Source organism: Homo sapiens, chromosome 3 (assembly GCF_000001405.40).
Source record: "Homo sapiens chromosome 3, GRCh38.p14 Primary Assembly".
NCBI lineage: Eukaryota > Metazoa > Chordata > Mammalia > Primates > Hominidae > Homo > Homo sapiens.
This window is the reverse complement of record NC_000003.12, coordinates 182,123,009-182,149,524: the sequence shown is the minus strand read 5'-3', so window position 1 is coordinate 182,149,524 and position 26,516 is coordinate 182,123,009. Positions and strand designations below refer to the sequence as shown.

General features: G+C 37.8%; 1 annotated feature.

Moving 5' to 3' along the window:
- Positions 8,942-9,741: an enhancer, noted in NCBI's record as "OCT4-NANOG hESC enhancer chr3:181857572-181858371 (GRCh37/hg19 assembly coordinates)". NCBI's record gives its function as "activates a minimal SCP1, AML or CMV promoter by ChIP-STARR-seq in naive and primed H9 embryonic stem cells {active_cell/tissue: H9 hESC(naive and primed)}" and the evidence as "EXISTENCE:reporter gene assay evidence [ECO:0000049][PMID:30033119]".

Sequence of the window (26,516 nt, the reverse complement as noted above, 5' to 3'; positions counted from 1 at the left end):
CTTGATTGTGAAAATCATGTATTTGCACCAGTCCATAGACTCACCAAAATGGCCCCTCCACTGATAAACAAAAAAATAAATAAAAAGTGCAGGTAGGCGGTGTCATTGTATTCTCACATGCATACACCTGAGTGAAGCTCAGAGAGATAAATTACTGGTTATGTACTCAGCAGGATTCACACCAAGACAGGCTGATGTGAAATCTCTGCTCTGCTCTTTCCATATATTAAGATCCTCTTCCTTTTTGGTGACTTCTGCTGTCCTGATTTTTTGGGTAACATGCTTGTGCTAGAGGTGGCTATGATAAAAAGGTCAGTCTTAGCCAACTAAGCTTAAGCATTAACAAATGAGAGTTTTATGCATCTACTAGAAGATTTAGTTGGGCTGTAAAGATTTATTTGAGCAATGCTTTTGTTATACTTTTCTTCATAAGTGGAGACAAGTTTGTCCCAAGATACATCTCTTAATGCATAAATTCATATATGTATTACTAAGACTTTTCCCACAAACTCAAGGGATTAAGTTGTACCCATAAATATATACATTTTGGATAATGTTAAAATTTTACCTACATTTAAAACTAATAGTTAATCATAAATTCAACAGAGAAGGGGTGGGTTACAAGATATTTGGAGAGGTGGGAGGTATCTTAGAGCTTAGAGCTTACCACAGTAAGTCTTTGCAAGCTCTTCCTCAAAGTCAGCCTGTGCCACAGCTAAGACCAGGCATTTTGGACTCAGACAAGCTTGATTGGAACAAAGGCTGTTGAAGCTACTTAATCTTTCTGAACCTCAGTTCCTTCATCTGTAAAATGAAAATAATAATGCCTGGATGGTTGTAATGCTTAAATGAGATCACTTGCCTGGCACATGGCAGTCACTTGTCACATGTTGTTTACCTGTGGTTTCATCCACTCCACCCATCTCATTCTTTTCAAGAGACTGACTTTAGAATGCACTGTCTTCCCAATCATTAAGTAAACTTTCCGCAGAGAAAAAAAAATGTCAGGATTATTTTTTTCTTTGATCTCTCCTTTCTAGGTTATCTTTAGCCAACCTTTGCTTCTTTGGCATGGCACACGTGTCTCACCTCTCCATGTCCGGAAGTAGTCACAGCCATCTAGAACTCTGAATGATATTCCCCTGACAAGGATGGCTTACTGCTGCCCACTCAAGTTGTCAACAACCAGATGCTGAACACTTAGCTATTTAAAATTGGCACCCCCCAACCCAACTCCATGAGAAAAAGCACACCTGGTGGGCTTCCTCCACAGTCTGGAGAGGCTTCTCCAGATCATTCCAAGTGGTTTGGATTTGGTGGAGCTACAGGGAGGGGTGCAGTGAGATGTGAGGGTACTTATTGCTCCAGCTTTTAAAAGGCCACAGAGCAGAATGGTAACAAAAAAATCAAAATCACAAACACTAATGAGGCTTCCTAGTTGGTGCCAGCTCTATTCCTGTCACCACCCTTCACAGCCCCAGAAGAGAGTAGAGGATTATAGTTTGGTGGAATCCTTGGGGCACATTCAAAGAGTTTGAGATTTTGTTTGAAAGTCTGTTTGCAGACAGTAAAAATGGATTAAATTGCCTCTCCAACACAAAGAAATGCCAGGTCTCTGTAGAGGTAAGACACCAGAGACTTAAAGTGATACTAGAAGCAAAATAATGAAAAGACTCCAAAATACTGGACCGTCTTTACAGCTAACGCTATATACCTTGTGTTTAAGAGTATATCAATTAATTGTGATAGAAGGAACCAAAGAAATAAGGCATTCAATAATATGTCATTTCTTGTTGAAATGAAATACATTAAGGACCCTGGTATATATTATATATTCTTTTTTAAAAAGCACAACAGGAAGTTATTTCTTGCATTGTATTTCTCACTGCTACTCCCTTCTATAAAACTCAGATTCTGGCTGGGCGCAGTGGCTCACTCCTGTAATCCCAGCACTTTGGGAGGCCAAGGCGGGTGGATCACATGAGCTCAGGAGTTCGAGACCAGCCTGGCCAAGATGGTGAAACCCTATCTCTACTAAAAAAAAAAAAAAAAAAAAAAAATTAGCTGGGCGCGGTGGCAGGTGCCTGTAATCCCAGCTACTTGGGAGGCTGAGGCAGGAGAATTGCTTGAACCCAGGGGGCAGAGGTTACAGGGAGCCGAGATGGAGCCACTGCACTCCAGCCTGGGCAACAGAGCAAGACTCTGTCTGAAAAAAAAAAAAAAAAAAAAAAAAACCAACTCAGATTCTTTGTGTATAACTTCTAGAAGTGATATGGATGGGTCAAGGAGTATTTATACAATGCCACTGGAATCCAAAAAGTAAGAGAAGAATAAAGATGAGACTTTTTAATCTCTTTAACTGTAACTTTTCAAATAATTCTAAAAGGTTAAATTTTTTATTACTTTATGCATGTTGAAAGCATTAAACTGTATATCTCACGGAAAAAGAAAAAAAAACTGTTCATGGCAGCTACAGCAAGATAGTGCTAATAAAAAAAGAACCATGTATTTGGTGAGATATCGCTGGTTATCCATGCTCTAAAATGCTGACATTTTCAACTGATATCACCTAATAAAGATATAGAAGAGAAGATCAACGACATGGATACTATTTTTTTTCCCTCAAATGGCCTAAATTATTATCAGTCTTACACAAATAGATTAGTATTAATAGCTCTTTTCAAGGCTGAATTAATATTTCCAAAACTTAAGAAGTCAACTTATTATAACATTCATTGCATATATAGTTTGTTATATATACTTTTTAAAATTTCTGCCTTTTTCATGTGTTCATATGTCTGTCTGCACCTTTGCCTGAGTGTTTCCTGTTGGTCTTCACTATGACAGGCATTGTTCTGGGCTTAAGGGGACAAGGATCTGGCACAGTTCCTGCCCTCAGGAGGAGTGACATTCCGAACACTGAGTGGCGGGCTGTGTGTGGGCTATAGGTGCAGGTGCTACATTCCATCAGCTACAGAGAGAGCATATGCTTTGAAAAATGAGGAAAACTTAATGAAAAAGTACACACTTAAATTGAGCTCTGAAGGAATGTCTGAAATTATTTTGAGAATACTGTTCTTCTTAGTGTAAGAGAATACCATGTTCATCTTTGATAAATTAATAGACTTTATTTTTTAGAGTAGTTTTAGGTTTACAGAAAATTGAGCAGATAGTAGAAAGTTCGTATACAGCTCTTGCCTCCCCCTCGTCCCCATAGAGTTTCCCTATTAATAACGGCTCACATTAGTGTAAGACATTTGTTACAATTGATGAATCAATCTTGATACATTGTTATTAATTAAAGCCCATAGTCTATATTAGAGTTTCTCTGTGTTGTACGGTTTTATGAGTTTTGACAAATGCACAGTGTCATGTGCCCATCATTACAGTATAATACAGAACAGCTTCAATGCCCTGAAACTTCTGTTGCTCCACTATTCATCCCTCCATCTCTTTCCCTGGACTTCTGGCAACCACTGATCTTTTTACTTTCTTCATAGTTTTGCTTTTTCCAGAATGTTATATAGTTGGAATCTCACAGTACATAGCCTTTTCCGACTGACTTCTTTCACTTAGCAATATTCAGTGAAGGTTCCTCCATGTCTTTTCATGACTGGATAGCCATATTCACTTTTACAAATAGGAAAAAATAAAATAAAAAACTATCACCCATAATCGCAGAGATAAGCTCTATGAACACTTTGGTCATTTCTTTCCAGGTTTCTTCATAGATAGATAGATATACTGAATTATCCTATTATCGATAGTATTTTGATATCTTTTCTGTTACTCAATAATTTATCATGAATATTGTACTATTAAACATCAGTTTGTAAAACTACTTGTAATGGCTAAAGATTATCCCATTTCTGGTTGTATTACTTATTAAACTAAGTTTTCATTCAGGAGCATGAAGGTTGTTGCAAAATTTTTGCTACTGTATACAATGCTATGATGAATATCCTTCTTGCCAAATATTTATTTCCATATCTTTAGGAAAAATATTCTAGATGTGTAATTGCATTACACAGTGGGTACAATTATCAGGCATTTGATAGAAACGATCAAGCTCTGCCCTGGAAGGTCTCTAACAATCTCCATTCCCTGCACAGGACAAGAAATTGCACACTTCCCTATACCTCATCAAAGCAGGGTAACATCATTTTAAACAATGTTTAAATTAGAAGATATTTGTCATGCACTTATTGGGTGGTTAGGAGGTTAGGAGAGGGAAGAAGGCACTTGATGAGAATAGCATGAACAATGGCATGAAGGTGAGTAGACATGATCATGCTAGAAAATCAAATACCATACTGTGGTTGAAGTACAGAGAGCGTTGAGTGGAAGAAGCATGAGCTGAGGCCAGAACGACAGATTACAGTCAGATCACAAAGGTCCTCAAATGCCCAGCTGGATGAATGCATGTCTTTGGAAAGCAAAAGACAGCCCAAAAGGTTTTTAAGTAGGGTAGTGACCTAAACCAAGCTATGCGAAGATTAGTTTTGCAGCAGCATGAGGGTAAACTGGAGTAGGCTGATAAAGGATTCCAAGACCCTGTTTAGAGACATGAAAATGTTGATGATAGGGATGATAACTTGTTGTTTTAAGGAAGCAACAGTGGGACTGCAGAGGAAGGATGAAATGGGGAATAGGTGCCAAGTGAGGTTCCAGAATTTCTTTGGCCCCTTTGCACCTTGTTTTCCAACATCTTTCTCTCTCCCAGAAACTTCTGTATCTCCAGATGATACAAAGTCCCAACTCAGAGATTGTTGCTTTAACATAGGGACTTTGAGGACCAAAAACAAAAAGGAATTTATCTTCCATTGTGGAATTTTAGGCAATATGACAAATCAGAAAAAAAAAATCTTTAGACAGAGGCTTTTAGTAACATTTTAGTAACATTTAGTAGCAATTTTTAAGCCATCTGAGAATGCTTCTGTGCTCCCCCCAGTAAATTGCTCTGGGTTTGAATTTATTTGTATGAGAAGCCACATAAAGGTGTAAAGTCAAAATCATATTTAGTTATGCAGTCAATAAAATAGACTCTATTAAAACAGACTCTGTTAAAAAGAACACAATGGCATGACATTGATGCAATATTTAGTTACCACAGATATGATACCAGTTCCTCCAATGGACTCTTAGAACTGTTCACAGAATTTGTGACTAGATCAGAGAAGCTAGTTCAAGGGAAAGGGGCAGAGGAAATGACAGGTTTAGAAGGAGCTAGTGGGTCATCCACATTTGAATGTCCATCCACAGTTGAAGTGGTAACTGGAGGCCAAAGATATACGAGTTGCCTGTGTTATGTGGGAATTCCTCTGCACATTCACAATTGTTAAAATTATGAGAATTCCTAAAATTTCCTTAAGACCAAATTTGGGGTTGTGTTAGTTGGCTTAACTGAGAGAAAAAAAAAATTGCACTGTTAGCACTTTGTCTATGGTATCTTTTTTTCAACTTACATATATTTAGTTTTTGGCCCATTATAATTTACTTGCCTTTGGACAAGATTGTTTTTATATTCTCTCACCAATATGTGTGTGCATCTCCACGTGACTCCTTCTCTGTCTTTTTCTGTCTTCTGTTATATAAGATCTTACTGCTGTCTTCACCATGATCACACTTCGACAGTCAAAAAAAAAAAAAAAAGATATATTTCAGGTGTTTGAGATGAAGGAGGTTGCGTGAGTTTAACCTTCCTTGGTATCCTTGTGAGCTTTCTGTATTTAATACTTGTTTTATCTGAAGCCTGTGGAGGTTCTAAACTATTAGAAGACACACTTTCTGAGAACTACCTTTCTAGTAGCCTGAAGATATATCATTGATGTTGGGCAACAAAGTTATTCTCTGTAATCCTCTTGATGTTGTAAATGAAAAAGAAGACGGAGCTAGCACCATCTGAACTTTGGGCAAACCATTTGCTCAAAAGGATCATCAAAGGACCAAACCCTGCCAAAATAATATTAAAAAAAAATCCAGCAGAAAAGGAAAACATTGAGGAGCACGCACAAAAATGAAATTGGTGCAAATTATCTCCATTGTGATTGGAGAGCAATACAAAACAAACTCCCACCACAGCCTCGAGAGGAAAGCCACAGAAGACAGACATTGAAGTGGTAGCCTCACAGTAGCCATCTTTTAACAGCTTTCTTTCTTCAATGCTTTAACCTTAAAAAAAAAAAAAGAAGAAGAAAAGAAAGAAAAAGGAAAAAAAAAAAGAAGAGAAGAAAAAGGAAAAGAAAAAACTACCCATTGTTATGTCCCCTATTCATCCTTCATTCAAAGTCATTCACTATGCATTAATTACCACTTTCTTCAATGCACGGGGAGCTCCCAAACACATCTTGTTTTCAAAGAGGCACACTTCCATGCCTCTGCTATTTATATGCAGAACCCGCTGAAATTTTCATCCCAATACTTTGAGATCCCCCCCTAATTTCTGCATACTGTAATTGTTCATAAGAAAAAAAAAGACAAAAGAATGATTTCATGCTTCCAGGACAGTTGTTTGCATCTCTTTCATTTTTCTTTCCAGCTGTGACTGGCAGCAGAAGGTTCTTTAGCAGGTGTCTTGCCTGCCCTATGGTAATTTTTAACTTTCCTTCACTTTCTTTTATGTCTGTCACATTTATAGAGACATTTTTACCCCTGTTGCCTGGTGCTGTTTTTCTTCCTTTCTTATATCAATCTAATATCTGGATTTTTCCTTAATATGCTATTCTCCTTAGGAGTCATTTAAGAAGAAGGAAAAAGATTGAGTTGAGAGTTCAAAAATCTCATCTAGACATTTTAACTGCACAGTATAGTAATTGGATCTCTGACACTCACTTTACTCTCATTCCTATGGGTCTAATCACTATGAAATTTGTGAAAACTACATCGTTGGTTAATAGGAACTTAGTGCAGTTACTAGCACCACTTCTCAGTATAAAGCTTGATTTTTCCAATACTATTTAAGCATCAAAAGGAGATTGATGGGGTTAATTCTACAAGAAATTTTAAAAATTAAAACTTAATTAGAAAACATATTTGTGAGTCAATTCAGCTATTTATGCAAATTTGTGACATTCCAACTTATTCTTGGCCAAAATAATGTTGTTTTAAGGAAGAAGAAAGAAAGAAAGAAAGATAGGAGAAAAAGAATTAAACAGAGTGTATATACCTATAGGATTGTATACACTTAAAACAACTGAGCTGGTTCAGGCAAGTTATAAAAATAATTAGTACAACAGGGTCATAGAATACTGGACTTGAAAGATTATTCCAGCTATTTTTTTTATAGTTGAGGAAACTGAGGCCCAAAAAGATAATGACTTGTCCAAAGTCACCCAGGACTAATAAAAGATAGATTCTGGTCCTTTGATCCAATCACAACATATTTTTCATGACATACCTGCTGCTTAGAGAAGTTTTGCAGTCTCTTGTGGGCACTTTAGCTACACAGGTATAATGCATGCTATGTCTTGCCCACCCTGGCATCATCCCCTGGTCATGCTCTCTAGTGTCTTGAGGATACCGTCAAGTTTCCACATTGTGGCATACAGTGCCTAAAATAGAGTAGATGCTTTAAAAATGATTGTTGCTATTATTGCTATTGTTACTGTTGCTATTAGTGCCAGTCCCTTTCTAGCACTGTTTTTAGTAAAAACTAGCATTTTCTTTTTTGTATATGTACAGGTTCTATTTTGAAAGTTGTTTGTAACACATATATATTTGGATAACAGATCACATGTATGAAGTTGGTAGTATCTATTTCACCACCATAATCAGGGTCTCTAATAGATGTAGCAAATTGGAAAATATAAATTACAAAAAGGGCTGAGTTGCAAGGGATCTCAGAGATTATTTAAGTTCAACAGGTCTCCCACTGATAGAGCTCCCCCTATACTTACATTAGATTTCTTACATTAAATAGTACAATACATCACAAAATAGATCTAACAATTTGAAAGAAAATGATTCCTATGAACAATAGCCACTGCTTATGAAGTGCTTATTTTGTCAAGCACTACATGACGAGCACTTTATATAATTGTCTCTGATGCTTACAAACAACCTTGCAAGTTAAATATTTACATTTTAGCCTAGGACTAAACAGAGGCTCCAAGGGATGTATTACCAAATGTGTAAGAGTCAGAAAGAGGAAGAGTCAGGGTTCTAACCCAGGTCTGCATAGTTCTAAAGTACTAGTTCATTCCCCCTCCCACCTGACATCCACATTCTTCAACTAGAAGGCAATGGTTCCAACATTCTAAGGAAATGTACTTTATTCCCTTTTCTTCTTTATCTTTTTCTATGAGTTATTTCTTATGTTCTAAGGTATTCATCAAAGGGCATTCCCAACCTCTGAATTGATATACCATGCTTTGAACTTGAACTGTGGCCAGTGCTTGAACTATTTAAAGGAGTCTAAGCTTCAAACTAGAAATGAAATAAACTTCTTAATACAGGTGAAATGTCATTTGATGTATACAGTGGCCTTGAATTAAGTGAGTTTAGTTTAATCACACTAACACTCACTTGGGACCCAGCTCTAGGAGATGTCTATGTTCAGCTCTGGCTCTGTCTGTTTCTGTGCAGCTGTGGCCAAGTTCCAACCTCTCTGAGCCTTGGTTTCCCCATGGATCAGATGTCTTGATTAGTATCTTGCTTGCCTTCCTAATAGAGTGGGACTAGGATAAGGTAAGGCAGTATGATCCTGCATGTAAATATGGTTTGTTAACTGAAATGCATGATACAACCTTCCATAATAAATAATGATTCGTGTATAAAAACTCTATGTTTTATGGGCACTTTTTATTAAACATTTGAAAAACAAATTATGTCTTAGAGTAATAAGCAAACAAATGAATGAAATTTCCCTTGTGGTGAAGGAGAACCAACATACCACCATCTTTTGGTTTCTTCAAAAGGGAAAATCTAAAGGAAATTTTGTCTTATTTTATTTTTAAAAGTAACTTTTAATTACTAAAAATAAGGAGAAGAAAATCACCCAAATTTTATGATTCTATTTGAAATGCAATTTTATTCTTTGGTTTCTAAACATTTAAGACATCATTTTTTTTTAATTATGGGAAAGTAACCAATAAAATATAAAGGGTAAAGCAAACACTGGGACCATAGGTTCCTAGAGCTGGGTAAAGACTTTGAGCAATAACCTAGTCTTGCTCCCTCATTTGACTCCTGATGAAACGGAGACTTGGAGAGAGAAAGTGATTACCCAAGTTCACCCAGCCCATGAACTTGGAGCAGGGACTCAAAGGCAGCTTCTTCTAATTCAAACTCCAGGGCTCTTTTTGCTTCACCACAGGCCTTTGTTCCTACCCATCAAGGACACCTGGAGGGCCTACAGTTTACTTTGTTATGGCTGTAAACTCCTAGTAAAAATGTTTGTCTTCAATTTCACACACCCTTTAGGACATCAAGGCTGCCCCAGAAGCCCTCAGGCAGCTCAAGCCAGACTAAAGACAAGACGACACCAGTGTGCGTGTGTTTGTGTATGTGTGTATGAGCGGGAGAGTTGAGGGAGGGCCAGGAGAGGCAGCACATGAAGGGATTTCTAAGAAAAACTGAAAGCAAAAGATTTCTCTATCCACTGCTGAGGGCTTTTTTTTTTTTTTTTTAACACCATCTCCAACTATAACTACATCTTCTTATCAAAGCAATAAAATGATTAATGCTTATGATAAAAAACAGAAATAGCGCCCCCATCAGTGCACACTGATTTTCTCAGAGGATTGCTTTTCGTTACAATGTTCCCAAACCCACAATTTGAACATCTGATTATGATTGCTGCTCAGGCATGGCACTATTTATCATTTACATGACTACATAGAACATATCGCTTTTACTGTCCCTAGGCTATTATTTAGGTATCATTTAAATTTTTTGTTTATTTTTGTGGGTACATCGTAGGTGTGTACATTTGTGAGGTACATGAGATGTTTTGATAAAGACATAGAATGTGAAATAAGCACATCATGAAGAATGGGGTACCTATCCCCTCAAACATTCCCTCCTTTGAGTTAGAAACAATCCAATTACACTCTTAATTACACTCTTTAAGTTATTTTAAAATGTACAATTAAGGGCTGGGCGCAATGGCTCATGCCTGTAATCCCAACATTTTGGGAGGCCTAGGCAGGCAGATCACCTGAGGTCGGGAGTTCGAAACCAGCCTGACCAAAATGGAGAAACTCCGTCTCTACTAAAAATACAAAATTAGCTGGGTGTGGTGGCGCATGCCTGTAATCCCAGGTACTCAGGAGGCTGAAGCAGGAGAATTGCTTGAATCTGGGAGGCGGAGGCTGCTGTGAGCTGAGATTGTGCCATTGCACTCCAGCCTGGGCAACAAGAGCGAAACTCCATCTCAAAATACATAAATAAAAATAAATAAATAAATAAATAAAATGTACAATTAAGTTATTGCCTGTAGTCACCCTTTTGTGCTATCAACAGTAAAGAATCATTTTAATGGCTATTTCTGAGTGTGTTGAAATCTCAAAAAGCAAACAAACAAACAAAAAACTGTTTTCAGGAAAACTTTGAGGGAGTCAGGAGGACATACAAATGCAAAAATTATAATTGGTCACAATATGTTACCAAAAAGTGAACATAAAAATTTTACCGAAAGTATTAAATATTGGTGTATATTGGTTTTTAACAAACACATTACTTTTACTCATAAGTGACTTTCTCTGCATTCATAACATCAAAATTAAATAAGATATAAGCCTCCTTTCCAACATTCATGATTTTTACTTGAGCATTTTTTTTTACTTCATACTTTTTAAGTCAGCACTTGCAAATCTTATATAAAAAGGTTGCATGGTGTACCATTGCCAGGAAACTTGTTTTCCTTGAATACAGCAAGTCTATATCATTACCTAGAACTCTCTTCTGTGACAGATACTTATACAGACATTAATTGGTGATTTATGATGGCCGTTTTGGGTTACCAGACAGGGAAAGAGGAGTCCTCTGTTAACTGTTATTTACTTTCTAAAATGTTTTCTTGTTTCCTGTTCACAAGAGAACTTTTTATTCATCAAAGATTATTAAGCTCTCAAGGGAAGTATAACCAACCATTAATGTCAGTCTTCTGTAAAAATATTAGTTTCTAACATTGTGTTTTTCAGGTAACTCAGTAATGCTTAATAAGGCAATTTTCCCTGGTGCACTTAAATTTACAAAGTGCTAATAAAATGCAGTTTTCTTATGTTTTATGAAACCTTAGAGCAAAAATGGCTCCCACAGAGACAATGGGTCAGCCTGAACTCACACTGAATGGCAGCCAGGATGCATTTAAGTGTGAATGTTGTAGAAAAGCAACAACCTCCCTCCTTTTCCTTCCTCTACCTCAATACCCAGGTGTGCCACTCTTCCTGCCACTACTTTTAGCATTCTCACAAATACTGTATGAAAACCATTACCTGCTATTATAAGTTGGATATAAGAATTTAGCAATAAAATAAATAAAAATTGTATAGCAAGTATTGATAATTATCTTAAGAACTCTCAAAAAAGGTGCAATGCTATTGGTGATGTTCTAATCCTTTAATTAGATGGTTGGTTCACATGTTTTATAGGTCTTAAAACGTTTGTTATCTATGTCCCTTTGTATGTTTAGAAGATTTAAAAATGGAAAGTGGCAAATATAACAAACACTCGAAAAATTATGTATGGACATATTTTCATGACCAACAGTTATTTAAAATATTGTTAAATTTTTTTTTTTTTTTTTTTTTTCTGAGACAGAGTCTCGCTCTGTCGCCCAGGCTGGAGTGCAGTGGCGTGATCTTGGCTCACTGCAAGCTCCGCCTCCTGAGTTCATGCCATTCTCCTGCCTCAGCCTCCTGAGTAGCTGGGACTACAGGTGCCCGCCACCAAGCCCGGCTAAATTTTTTGTATTTTTAGTAGAAACGGGGTTTCACCATGTCAGCCAGGATGGTCTCCATCTCCTGACCTCGTGATCTGCCCGCCTCAGCCTCCCAAAGTGTTGGGATTACAGGTGTGAGCCACTTCGCCTGGCCCTAAAATATTGTTTAAATGCTTTGCACCTGAAACTGGACAAGTCTCAGAACTATTAGAACATAAAGCAAGCAATTAATAATAGTTACCACTTATTGACCAGCTACTTGTATCCGATACAATAGTAGATGCTTCATGCATTTTACAGCCTTGTAAGCCTCCAGAGTTGATGTTACTAACTCCATTTTACAGATTCGGAGACATTACTTTGTTCAGGGTTATAGCTAGTAAACAGCAAAGCCACATTTCAATCCCAAGTTTGTTTTCTTTTATAAATATAAATAAAAGCAGTTAATGCAATACATAAAACCATCCAGTGTATCTAAAGGGACATGGAGTGTTATGGTAAATACACTTCTAATCTGATTGTGAGCATATGATTTTTTTAAATAAAAAAAGAAAGAATTGTTTTTATCTCTTTATTTCTATCTTCTCCACAGTCTCTAAAAGCAGAGCTTTTTTTTATTTGTATTTATGCTAGTACCTGGTGCATAATAAAGAGACAAATGGGGAATTCACTGATTCTCAAAATGGGGCCATGTCATGAATTCTGAATTGGCTGTAACTAAAATCCACAAATAGTGCTATATTACTCCCTGCGGCACTGCTAAAAATTCAAATATAACTTAGAGTGATGAGGGAGAAATTAACTAAAAACAATATTAAAAAACTTTTTCCAGTGTTCAAGAGGTTCAAACTATAGACCTGAGTGCTCTCTTTGGTTGTCAGTTCTTACTATCTGCTTTAGCCACACACTGCAAGATAAACAAAACTCCTACGTCTTCGGGAGGCTACTCCGTGATACCCAACAGTAAGATTATTGGGTCACATTTGTGACTGAGGCTTAGTAAGATGTTTAAGTTAATCAAATATTCCACCTTAGCAATAGGATGGCCTGGATTCATCTTGATCTTGACTAATATAACATATACATAAAGGAAGGTTACAGCTTCTTCCTTGAAAAGTGAATTTACTTTAACCCTGTCACAATTATGCTTTTAAGGGGAGTGAACAAAGGTGGCTGATACACGGTCTTTTAACCTCTCAGGCACTTCCATAACTGGGGCATTTTACTTAGAAATGTGCAACCACACTGTTTGTTTGCACCCTCCTCTGTGATTCTGTTGTTTATTTTGCCCACATCACTGTATTTGCACTGAACACAGCTGAGACTCCACCATGATCATGGCCTCTTGTTTGACATGTAAACAGCATCTGGGAGGGGAAAATCCTCCAGACTGCTGCCTAGTGTGTGGACTTGAAGTGGGAGTGTTATTTTTATTATTATTCACTAGATCCTGATTCAGCAAAACCAATCTTTAGGATGCATATGCATGCTTTCCTTTTCCAAGCCCTGTTTTTGTGCTTTCTTTTCCACTATAGTTATATGTTCTGACACTATCTTACGTTGAATGTGGCCAAGCAGAGACTAGCTGGATGGGATGCTGGAGAAGGGATTTTTGCTTTGAGTCAGAGGTTGGACCAAAAGACCCTTTTAAATCCCGAGATTCTATGATTCTCTGGGAAGGGAGAGAGGGGCAAATATTTATGCCACTTAATTCTAAAACAGATTGCTTTGGCAAAGGTGTATAAAATAGTATGAAACAGAATTATAATTTTTTTCTAAGCAAATAATTTACTAGTAGTGTTTATTAGTGCTCCAGACACTCAGTTTCTGCCATGAGCTTGGATTTCTATGTACTGTTAAAGGGCCACCATGGACTCTTCTCAGCATAGTCAGATCTCAGGTACAGGCTGAATGGAGTGCCGTGTATTTCTAATTGCTTCATCATGCCTTAATTCTTAGGTTGTATTTATGATTTTTATTTATGCTCATGTCTCATTACAACCTTCCACTCAACATGATGTCAAAAACCAAAATCCATTTTCTTAAAGTTTCTGTGCTGTTAGGCGGAAGACTTTACTCCCCTGAACCTGTTTTCTTTATTTGAGAATGAAATCTTTGAAAGGTGTCTCACTCAGTGAAAAACAAAGCAGGGAAAATGGTTAAGGCTGGCAAAATTCAATTATTCTCCTGATTTTGAGTCTTGCACATTCTACAAGGCTGAGTGGAAACCATGGTTCCAATTTGCTGGGTGTTCTAGATGAGCCACTTCATCTCTCCTAGCCTCACTTTCATTGTTCCTTAAGGGAGGGAGTGAAATAAGATTGATCTCTAATGTCCCTCCTGATACTTTCATGCTCTAAGAATCTCCTGCCAAGAGCAAGTACTTCTCATTCTTCCTTTGTTGTTGCTTAATCTCAGTATACACTTGGAGGTCACTGGCTTCAGATCACCGGCTTTTCTCCACTTTTAAAAAAAAGTATACTAGAAATATCTCTGAGGCATAGGGAGGCTGCTATCCCAGATGCACTAATGGGAAACGAGCAGAAAACAGCACCAGCCAGACCTCTATTGCTCTTGCCCAATCTCTGTCCATAAAAAAGTAGCATGGGGCCTCTGCTTGTCTCCAAGGGTGACAGACATGTCCATTCCCCATACTGGAAGCTAGCACCATCCCCCAGGGCCACCACCACCACGGCCGCCACCAGGAGTATTTACATCAGCTTGCATTTTCATCTTAAAAGTCAGAAGGTGGTAAGAAAGGCATCTCCATTGCAGTAGATACTATGAGGCTACTGTACTACATGTTTCATAGACATCTTGTTTCATGCCACAACACCCCTAAGAAGTCAGTAGTTACTATTACTATTATTAGGATGCATATGCATGCTTTCCTAATAATAGGAAAGCATTGTGTACAGGAAGACACTCAGATTCCTCCACAATTAAGTAGCCAAGCCAGTTTTCAAGGCAGGGCCATCTGACTCCCAACCTCTCGTTCTTTCCAGTTAATCCTACTGCCCACTGTATGGTCAATTGGTGGAGTAAGTGTCTCAAACATTTATCTTTATTATTATTCTATTTTTAAGAATAAATCTCAAGGGATTTGGATGACAAAAATGTCTAGAAAAGTATTACAAATTTTTATTCCAAAATGGCAGTGTGGCTTTCATTAGCCCTAACCTGGTGTTCTGCAACCTTTTTAGGCTGGTGGCAGCCAATCGCTCATTTGATTCCCTTGCTCTTGAAAGAGCTACTGGCCATCTATTTTTAAATGAAATAAAACTAATTTCATTTTGAGAATTCTTTGGAACATTTCATGACATTTGTTGAGATAATTGGGGACATCCTGGAGTGTCACAAAACCAAGGTTGGGAATCAGTGCTCTAAGGACTGAAGAAGCAAATTAATTTTTCTCTCTGGTTTTCTTCAGATAGTTTTATGTGTGGAAACTCAACTTTCTAAGGCTTTCATTGTGTGTTTTGACTTCCTTCTCCTTGTTATCCTTTCTCCTCTTCTTTATTTATTGTATATAGACTACTACAGTGCTCATTAATGTATTTCTTACCCTAATTAGTTTTTCTTCCAGTAAAACAATACCCCTCGTTCCAGGGATGTGCAGTCTTTTAGAACCAGAAAGAAGGCTGTGACCTTCTGAACTGCTCTGCTGTCAGGCTGAGCAAAGGTGACTCATGAAACACTTACCGAGGTATAGGAAAAAACAGCTCAGCAAGACAGTGCCCTGTCTTAATAATAGGAAAAATACATTTTCAAAGAGTTGTGCTAGGTTTCTTTTGAAGACTCTGCTCATGATTTTCAAGGTATCTGACCTGACCTGATTGGATTCTGGAATAAGCAGAGCTTCAGCAGAGAGAAATTGCATGCCATATCACCATGATGTGTTTAGAAGCAAAGCCAAAACAGTTCCCAGGGAAAATTAAATATAAATGTTTCATTCAGGGTGGCCCATTTTAAAAGTTCAATCTCAGAAAATTTAAGTATGATTGCCATGTTACTTTTGAAATCTGCTATCTGTCCTATTACTAGTTAATGACAACTTCTTTCTTCTCAATGACTTCTTGTTCTGCCCATCATGTTTATTCAATATTCAAACATTAATTCATTCACTCAATTAGCATTGAATAGGCACTGCTGCGAATATGATATTTTGCAATGTACATTTCCATTAATCAGCTCTGTTACTTTGGGAAAGTCCTTTAACTAATCTGAGCTTCAGTTTCCTCACCTGTTAAAATATGAGATTGGTTGGGATGCCTTCTAAAAACTTTATTCTATGATTTCTGAACAAACCCTAAATGAATGGCATGGATATTGATATCAATATAATATTTATCCAAGTTCAGAAACAAATACAACATCTCTTACCTCTTTATAAACAACTTGCCCAAAATCTTTACTTTTATTAACTGGCAACCTAACTAACTAACTTGATGCAGGTCTGACCATGAAAATCTTGCCATTGAAGAGATCTAAGTGTTCCAGAAGCCAATGAGGCAAACTTGTTTTGAAGATTGGTTTAGTTTTATTTGTTTATTATTCAAAGATTCCTGGCATTGAGCTTACTGCTTAAGAGGAGTGCATTTAAGACTTGGTGCTTACCACTTCCACAGCATCAGTAATAGTCCAAACTAGACTGGTGGCCAGACTAGAAACAGACTGTGTCAGACTTGATTGCTGGTCCCAGTGTTCACCATCCTGCTTTTCTGTTTAGTAATTGAAGACCCTGGGTTTTAGATAAGCATTTAACGGCCCAGCTAAAGTCTGCATTTCCCAGACTCCCTTGTAAGTAGGTATGCCCATGAGCCTGCATTTGAGCCAATAGGATGAGAGCTGAAGTGATGTGTGCCCCTTCTGGATCATCTCTTCAATGACGAATCCACTTGCCATGCATTTTCCCTTTCATTCTTCCTGCTGCATGGGAAATGGCTACTGCTGAACAACCTTGGCAACAAGTATTAAGGGTGCCAGAGCTGCCCACCAGGCGTGAACCACTGTCCTCTTAGGAGAGACAGAAAAACTTCTATCTTACATATGGCATTATTTATCACAGATAATTTGTTACAACAGTTTAGTTTATAAACTAATATAACCTTAGTTCTGGATTCAAAGGAAAATAGTTTTAAGAGACAAAAAATATTAAATATTTTAAAATAGCACTTAAAATTGTGGTATATATGTGTGTGTGTATATATATGTAACTCAGCCATAAGAAGGAATAAAATAATGGCATTTGCAGCAAACTGCATGGAATTGGAGACCATTATTCTAAGTGAAGTAATGAAATAACTCAGGAATGGAAAACCAAATATCATATGTTCTCACTTATAAGTGAGAGCTAAGCTGTGAGGATGCAAAGGCATGAGAATGATACAATGGGCTTTGGGGATTTGGGGGAAAAGGGCGGGAAGGGGTGAGGGATAAAAGGCTACAACTCGGGTACAGTGTACACTGCTCAGGTGATGGGTGCACCAAAATCTCAGAAATCACCACTAAAGAACTTACTCATGTCACCAAACACCACCTGTTCCCCACAAACCTATGGAAATAAAAAATTAAAATTAAAAATTAAAAAATAGCACTTAAGGAGGAAGGTAAAGAGATGACAGATTATAATGCATTTCAAGAATATGCTGAAGAGAGTGAGTGGGGGTGTCAGAAAAACTAGGAAAAAAGAAATGACAAAGTCCATTTAAGGATCTGTTTAAAGTTAGGGGCAGCCCTTAGGTTAGTTGAGCCTTGCAACGCAAAGAAGAGTCTTGGATGTCAGAGGAAAAATGTATGATTATACATTTTATTTTGTTATCATATTCTTATGCCTATACAGTGAGAGGCTTTGTAGCTGGGTAAACTTGAGTTCATATTATAGTTTCACCATAGACTAGCTACGATGGTGGGCAAGTTACTCAGTCACTGAGTCTCAGTTTCCTCATCTATAAATGGGAAATAATAATATATATTTCCTCACAGAGCTGTAAAAATAAAAATAATATGTAAGTTCAAGTGTGCTTGGTACATAGCAGGCTCTCCTTGAAAGACAGTTGTTATTGTCTTTCTTCAATTTGTAGCTTGGCAGAGCTGCTACTACTGATTCAGCTGCAAGCTTGCTGGCATTTTACTTTCTGAGTGAACTGAGACCACCTCTCAAGGTCTTTCTGCAGAATGCTCCATTAACAGCGGTGCCTGCAGTAAGCTCCTAATTCTCTATTCACAACCCAGGCAGACAGAAAGCAGGTTCATGACTCCCTGTGTTTGTGCTGTGTGGAGGTGAGCATGCTTTCACAGACATTTAGTAAGAGGCTTGGGTTACTGGGAAGTCCACTCGCAGTTTAGAACTTGGTAAAATTACCTGAACAGGTCAAGTTCCTATTCGTAGTCTCATTTGCAAATATAGAGCCTCAGCCTCTGTGCTCCTCACTTACTTCTTTGAGGATTATTTTTTGAATAATACTTAGTTCTGCAAACGCCTGCCTCAAAGGGCCCTCATCTTTTTGATGCACTTTGCTTCTGCATATTATGGTGCTCTCATCTGGAAATGGAAGAATTTAAAATGTATGTCACAGAACGTCTGAATCCTCTTATGCACTTTCTAGTTACCCTTGAAATATTTTTGTGCAGGTTAAAGGGACTGCAAGGTTTCTTCAGATTCAGAGTCTGCTTTGTGTTGCTTTCAGAAGTTTTTAACTGGGATCATCTCTTCAGGAATCCAAACTGGGGAGCTGAAACAAAGGACCATGCTTCTCAAGTTGTCAAAATTGACCAAATATATCCCTCTCATCATTCAAACTCAAATAAACCACAACCAAATCAAATAAAAAAGTTAAACAGGTTGTAAAGGAATCATGACCTGTGTGTTCAAAGCTCCCCTAACTCGATTACAGCATTAGTTTTTACATTTTAAAAAATATCTGCATTATGTTTGAATTTCTAATAATGGCGACGTATTTATTTCAGCTGAATTCATGTCAGCTTTACCATTTAGACAGTTAGGATTATTTATTAAATGCATCCTATGGGCCAGACCAGACACAAGCACAGGGCTTTACGTTATCTAATTTTTAAGGTTAATACTACAATTATCCCCATTTTAAAGGCAAAGTAACCCAAGTTTATCAGTCTTAAAACCCCTGGCATCCCCAATGTTTCTTAATGCCTCTCAGATTGGGGAGTTTATTGGGATTAAGTAGTTTCATTTTGTGATCAAACTTAATCCCATATTCCAGAATTAGCTTGAGCGGAGACCAACCACAATTTCCCCTTGGCAACTGGAAATTCATGGCTGTGGCAGGTATCATGGACTCAGAGCAAAAATAAAAGAAGATGTTTTCTAAATGAAGACTTTTTTTTTCAGATACAATAAGGGGGAAAAGTTTAATGGAATTTAGTACAAGTTCAGATTATTTGAAAATATTTCTTTCTGTGTTAACATTCATAACCCAGATATGTAAAAGGTGTCAATTTTTTTTTAATTAGTATCAGGTAGAGGGTTTAAGTCTGTCAAATTAATTCCTCTTCTTCTCTATACACAAAGATCTCGATCTACCGCCCTTCAAAACAATACACGTTAGAGTTAGAGAAAGAACCTCTAAGGGAAAGAACCCTGTGGATATTTGGGAAATACTTTCGTCCAGTAGTTACAGAGCTAGTGAGTCCCTTCCTCCCGTCTCTCATGCCCAGGAAATGCTCCAGCGACCCCAGCTCAGTTTTCACTTAAGTCCTTCCTCATGGCTGTTTAGCAGAGTGTAATTTAGGCCAATTACTTTGCTGATGCCGCTTATCCTCCCTCCTCGCCCTCCCCTAAATTCCCACTGTACCCCCGCTCCTTCCCCATTTACATTTTTCAGATGAAACAATAGACAGAATGTGAAAGTGAGCCTAGCTCATTTGGCCTGGAGGCTACAACAGGTTGATACTACCAGAGGAGCAAGGCCCACCTGACGGGACTAGGGGAAACACGTGGATGCTGACAGGTGAGTAGGGCAGCAGGGGCTCGTGACATGGGGGCTGCATGTCTCCAGTGTGGTGATCCAGGGACACCATATCCTAGCAACTGAGCAGGGTGTCAAGAAGCAGTAAGGAGAATATCTTTTTATTTGCATTTAAAAATAAAAAACCTATTCTACATTTTTCAGAGAAAATTCCTATTTGAAGGATACCTTGAAAAACACTTAACGAATTGTATCACTTTTTAAGTACTTAAAATTTGTGACATATCTAATAGAAAAAATAAAGATTTAGAGAATAGACTATCAATATTGTAAAGAAATAATCCAGTAAAAACATTATTACAGTCATATACAGATTATAATTATTTTATCTTGAGCTACCTTACTCCAATATAACTTCTAGTATTTATACAGAATAGTTGTCTTGTTTAATAAAGGTAATAGTTTGATTTATATATATTTTTATACTATTTTTAGGGCACTTTCCCATAATGCATGCTTATTAAATGTTTTGGAATTTACTGTTAGGCACATCCTTAATGCTTTACGTGGGTTATTCCACTGGATCTTTCACAACTTTGAGAGATAGACATCATCATTTCCATTTCACAGAAGGGAAAACGGAGGTGCAGGTTACTCTCTCAAGATCACTATGTCAGTAACTGGCAGACCTAGAGCTCCCTTCTTCTGTTCCTGTGCACTCTTTTACTAATGACCATTATTACTAAGTCACACTGAGTGGGATTAGAACATTTTAAAATACAGTTTATCAAGAATATCTACAATCTTCTCTTGTCATAAAAAATAAGGTGCTGCAGTATCTTTTTATACATATTCCATACCTGCCAAGCCCCCACCAGGGGCTGCCACGCCTTGGTGCTGGATGGACCACCTGATTTTCCTCATGACAGTGTTATTTTGCATGTGATATTATTGAGTATGATCCATTGATCCATGGCATTGCCGGAATAGTGAACTAATTGTAGATATTTGTGTCTTCTTCTCTCTGTCCCAGAGTAGATGTGGCCCCAGCTACAGTTAAAGCCCAGAGCTTTGCTCTGGAAGTCCAGAGGACAGAGAGGTTTATTTTGGCTTTTTGGCAGTGGGAAGGCTTCTTGGAGCAAGTGGGATTTGAATTGGGTTTTGAAGTCTAGAAAATATAGTTTGTAAATAAGAAAACACACTCCTGACCTTTACAAGTGAAGACCAACTATCAATTGTTTTATTTAAATATTATTTTAAAGATTTAAATATTATTTGATTTAAAGATGAGACTATGTAGGATGAAATAATCTATGCAACTAACCCTCACAACTCAAGTTTAGCCATGTACAAACCTGTACATCTACCCCTGAACTGAAAATAAAAGTTAAAAAAATAAAGATGAGGCTATAGAATTGATTATTTATATTTTGTTTTGTTTTGGTTTGGTTTGGTTTGGTTTGGTTTGGTTTGGTTTTGAGACAGGGTCTCACTTTCAGCCAGGCTGGAGGGCAGTGGTGCAATCTCAGCTCACTGCAACATCCACCTCCCCGGCTCAAGAGATCCTCCCATCTCAGCCTCCTGAGTATCTGGGACCACAGGTGTGCACTACTATGTCTAGCTACTTTTTGTGTTTTTTGTAGAGACAGGGTTTTGCCATGTTGTCCAGACTGGTCTTGAACTCCTGGGCTCAAGCAATCTGCCCACCTTGGCCTCCCAAAGTGCTGGGATTACAAGCATGAGCCACCAGTTTATATTTTTCAGCGTATTTGTACTTCCTAAGCCTCTTTTTAAAGCATAACATAGTCTGAGCTGATCCAAAATTGAGGCACAGGAATCAAATGCTGATGTGATGATCATCAATCTGACCCATCAATCTGAGGACCACAAAGCGTGCCTACCACTTTTCTCTTACTGTGCCAATCTTTAATCATCTTCCTCAACCACGGTAGACACGACCTCTCATGATTTCATGCCATGGACATTTTATCTTGCATCTTAGAACCAGTCTTCGAATTGCCACCAGCATTGCCTTCCTTTGAATTATGTCACAATTCTTCCTCCAAAACTCCTTGTGTTCCTATCACTCATGAAATAAAGTCTGTCTGTGCAGTGGGACTATTCCTTAAGTTAGCCTCAAAGTACCTTCACACGGCACTGTTCACCACTCCTGTAACATGACTCCAGTCATTCCACCAAGCACATATTTTGCCCCAACCAACAGGCTCTCATAGCCAGCAATTCTCCTCCTCATCCTGTTCTGAATAAAATAATCTTGTTCTTTCTAAATCATAAGATTAAAATCACGAACTAAGGAGAGTCTACTAAAATGAGAATTGCTTTCTCTCCCAAGACATGCTGTTCTTCAACAGTCTCCTTACATCCTTTCCCACCTTCCAAGACCTCCAATAACAGTCACTTCTTACTATATGACATCAGAGTGTGGCTGTGAAGTTTTATGTATCTTCTTGTTTTATTCTGTCTTGTATGATAGTGAGTTGTTTACTTATCTCTCCTCAAGTAAGTAGGTGCCTTAAAGACAGGGATCATTTCTTATTCAGTTTTCCATATCCAGAGTTGTATTTTAACTCTGTATTTTGGCTTTAAAGGCTAAGAATTTTATGCTTTTGAATTAATAAATACGGAAGTCTTAATTTAACAACAGGAAAAATGACAGCTAGATAAATAGCATAATACCCACAAAGCAAATAACCGATAAATGTTTGTTGATTGAAATATTGACTGAAATACGTTGCCATTTACAGAATGAATTGTCAAAAGAGAGCATTCTTTACTCTTTTCTAGTTCAGCTATAGCCTAAGATAGAGGCAGCTAAAGAAAACTGCTGATTAGGGCATCTTCCTTGTTTCTTTAATATTTTTTCATTGCCAACTCTAAGCCCATAAAAAATGGTTTCTTATCTTCTAGAAAGTGCCATTGCTTTTGCATAGATGGTTTTTTTTATCGTTAAACAAATACCCATCATTAAGTCGAGTTCACACTGAGAAATTGAGAAGTTTAAGTTCTAGCCACCCAAATCTTTGAGCTTTTAGAAGATTGTATAGTCCAATGTATTCACGTGAATCCTTTACAGGTCATTGCAGATGATAATAGATAATAACTTACACAAATATGAACACTTTACTGTTTATAAGATGTTTTCATATGCAGTATTCTTTAGCCCTCACAGAAAACTCGTGGAGTAGATTTTGGCCTCATTTTTCAGGTAAAGAAACACATTATTTTAAATGGCTTGCCAAAAGTTATGTACCAAGAATGCAGCAGAATGAAGTTGAACCCAAATCTTTTGACTCCTAATCCAGTGCTCCCCAAAGCCTCATGCAGAAATAGAGCAAGGACTGGGCCCCTGGCCTCTTGTAAAGAAAAAACCAGGGGTCGTACAACCACTCTGGTTGATAACAGAATAAAACTCTTGAGATAATACTGCCTCCCCTTGCAGGGATTTGGGAGATGACAGTGACAATCTTGAGCATTGAAGTGGAGGAGGCAAGAAGCACCAGAGCAAGAAAGCAAGAGAGATGCATCAAAGACGCCAGGACAAACCTGGTATCTCCAAGAAAGTGATTAGAAACAAAATCAAAAACAAAGCCAAGACCTAATTCTAAAATATTCTGTACCTGAAGGGAAGCTTGGTCTCTACCCAATCCCAAGGAAGGTGTGATTGGACCAAAAAAATGATCTCAGTGTTCCCAGCACCTTGCACAGTGCCTGACACTGGAGGCACAGAAGCACCCTGTAAGTTTAGGACTGAACTAATGTAATTGAAATGAATACAGGTATGCTTTGCCTGGGGAGGCCTAAATGTTTTGCTCATTTCAGCTTAAAAAGGCCAAAACAGAAACATACAAATAAAATTTGTAAATCACAAGTAACATGGTCAATGTAAACGTGTTCATTAAATCTTGAAAATAGTAGAACAAGAGAGAATCTTGGAAGTTAAGTGAGATGAATACAGACTCTGCAAAATGTCCTCTCTGCATCACTTCAGCTGTTACTAATGTAAGAAGAAAGTGATCAATTATATGGCTAAATCATTCCTAAGAGAAACTGGGCTCATTCCAATCTTTCAAATGTGTTTACTACTTCATTCAGCAAGTATTTATTGAGTGTATACTGTGCCAAACCTGTACAAATACTAGCATTGACATAGCGAACAAAAATTATAATTGCAAGTCCTTCGGTACTTGCAGCCTAGTTGACATGTGTGAGTATGTTGGGTTCACTGATACGTCCTTTGTGCCCTGGTCAGATCCTGCATCTGATGTTCAGTTGCAGCTTCTATATGTTTTTTTCTTCCCTTTTCTGCTAATTTGGAGTTAAAAAGTGGGGAACTGTTGAAGTTGAATTTGGGGTTTTAACACTTAAACAAGCAATTATCAACTATTCACAGTAGCACAGAAAAAGACCACACATTACCTGAGATCGCTCTAAGATGCAGTGGTGGAAGTATATATTAAATGTGGTGAACTGCTCTTTTTCAAGCTCTCTAATACAGTTTGTATTTTAAATATGTTCTTTAAGCCTCCACTACAGTAGGAAATGTGGGACAACAATGAAGAATATCTATATCCTTAATTGCACGTGTATTATTTACAAGGTACTATCTCAAGTGCTTTATGTTCATTATTGCTGTTAATCTTCAATATAACTCAACAAGACAGTTTTCATTATTATCCTAGTCTTGATGATGTGGAAACTGAAGCTCAAGGTGGTTCTTTAATCCAAGGTTAAACTTACCCAAGGTAAGGTAAGTATGTAAATGCTGAAGTCAGCATTTCAAACTAGTTTTGTCTGATTTCAGAGTATGTTCTCAAACAAATGCAATATTTTCTCTAAGTCCCTGCCTTCAGTGCTTTTAGTCTTCTGGGAAAGAAAGAAAAAATGTCATTTTTGGATTAGTGATAACTACCATAAGAGGAGCAGGCACTAGGTTAATAATGGGACACATGGAAAACCATTAAAGTCAATTTTGAGGGTCATAGGAGGCAACATCTAAGCTAAGCCTTGAAGGATATACAGGCATTAACCTAGTACAATGGGAAGAAGGACCATCCAAGAAGAAGAGAAAGTATGTGCAAAAGTCCAGAGGCAGGTCTGGGGAACTGCAATACAGGGGCCGTGATCATCTGTAACCATCCAGCCACCATGTAGCATAAGTTGCAAAATGCTTTCATCCAAATGACCTCACCTCTGCTGGGATGTGACATGAGGGCACATGAAGGCCCTGGTCATGCTTGTAAAATTGGATTCAATGTTGGTAGGAAACCCTATTCCCTACACTGAATCACTGCACAAGCCTGGAATTCCGGTCACCCTAGGGCGGTGCAGTCTTGGAGGAGGGCACATTAGCACATGGTCAGTGTGGGCTCAGCTGTGGTCATTCTTCTGTCTGTAACTGCCTGACAGGTGGTGATTGGCTGTTCTGTCTTTGTCACCAGATGTTGCTGAAATTCTCAGACTTTGGTTCTACATCAAAAGCCTACATTTTAATGAAGGGGAACAGATTGAGTAACCAAAAAGAGCCAGTTCTGTCTTGGCAGGCCAAAGAGTGCACAAATAGAGACTGGGAAGGCAAAGGCATGGGATTTGAGGCAAAACCATGAAGGAGATGAAGTCAAATCTTTACAGTCTACCATAAACATCTTTCTTGTGGCACTTTCCCTGGGGCCATTATTTCTGGACCTTCATTAGTTTCAAAGTAATGTGGACTCAATGTCATTGAGCAGTATAGTTTCAGGCATTCATTACTTTATCTTACAGGGAGAAATAAAAAGCCTTCAGAAACACACAGACCTGGATTCAAGCCTTAGCCCTAGGACTTACTAGCTGTGTGGCCTTGGGCAAGTTGCTTATCCTTATCTTTACAATAAGGATAATAATGTAGATTTTGAATGACCAGCTAGGGGATTAGAATGTAATGTATGTAAAGCAGCTAGTCTGGCCCTCTATAGGCATTCAATAAATGGTAATTATTATTATGGTTATATTGACATTTAAAGAATAATTTTTCCATGCCTTAACTCAAATTTTGACTAATGGTGGGAGTTGGGGGCTGCTGGAGATAGTTATTTCTGATTATTGATTATTTTCTAAATCAAACAATAGTTTAAATTCACCAGGCTCTTATCCTTTAAAGGAATTCTATAGTTAAATATCAATATTTCTGAGCCAAGAAATTTAGACACGCTATCTGATTGATATTAGTAAATTTGTGAGAAAAAGAGAAAAAAAATATTTGAAATTGGGACTGCCAAGAAAAATTTAATATATATGGTTCCCATACCTATATCCACAATTTTCAGGAAAAGAGCCCCCGGTAATTAATGATCTTTTCTAATACCTTGAAGCTTTATTGTTCCTGATTAACTAGGTACTCTAGTACTCCAGGACTAAAAACTACACTCACCAATTGGTAGAAAAGAGGGCATGCTTTTACTCCCTTAAAACTGAGTAAACCAGATATTTGTGCTTGATTTATTCAGTTATGTATCAGTGCTAAAGCAGGACATTCAAGAGAGGCACAATAATGGAAAGAGCTCTGGGCTAAGAATCAGAAGACTTGGGTTTTAATTGTGACTCAGTCCCAGCTAGCTATAAGAATATGGCAAAAAAGAGTAAAACAAAAAGGTATCACACTGTCATTGGAATGGAATAGAGCAGTGGGAGTCAGC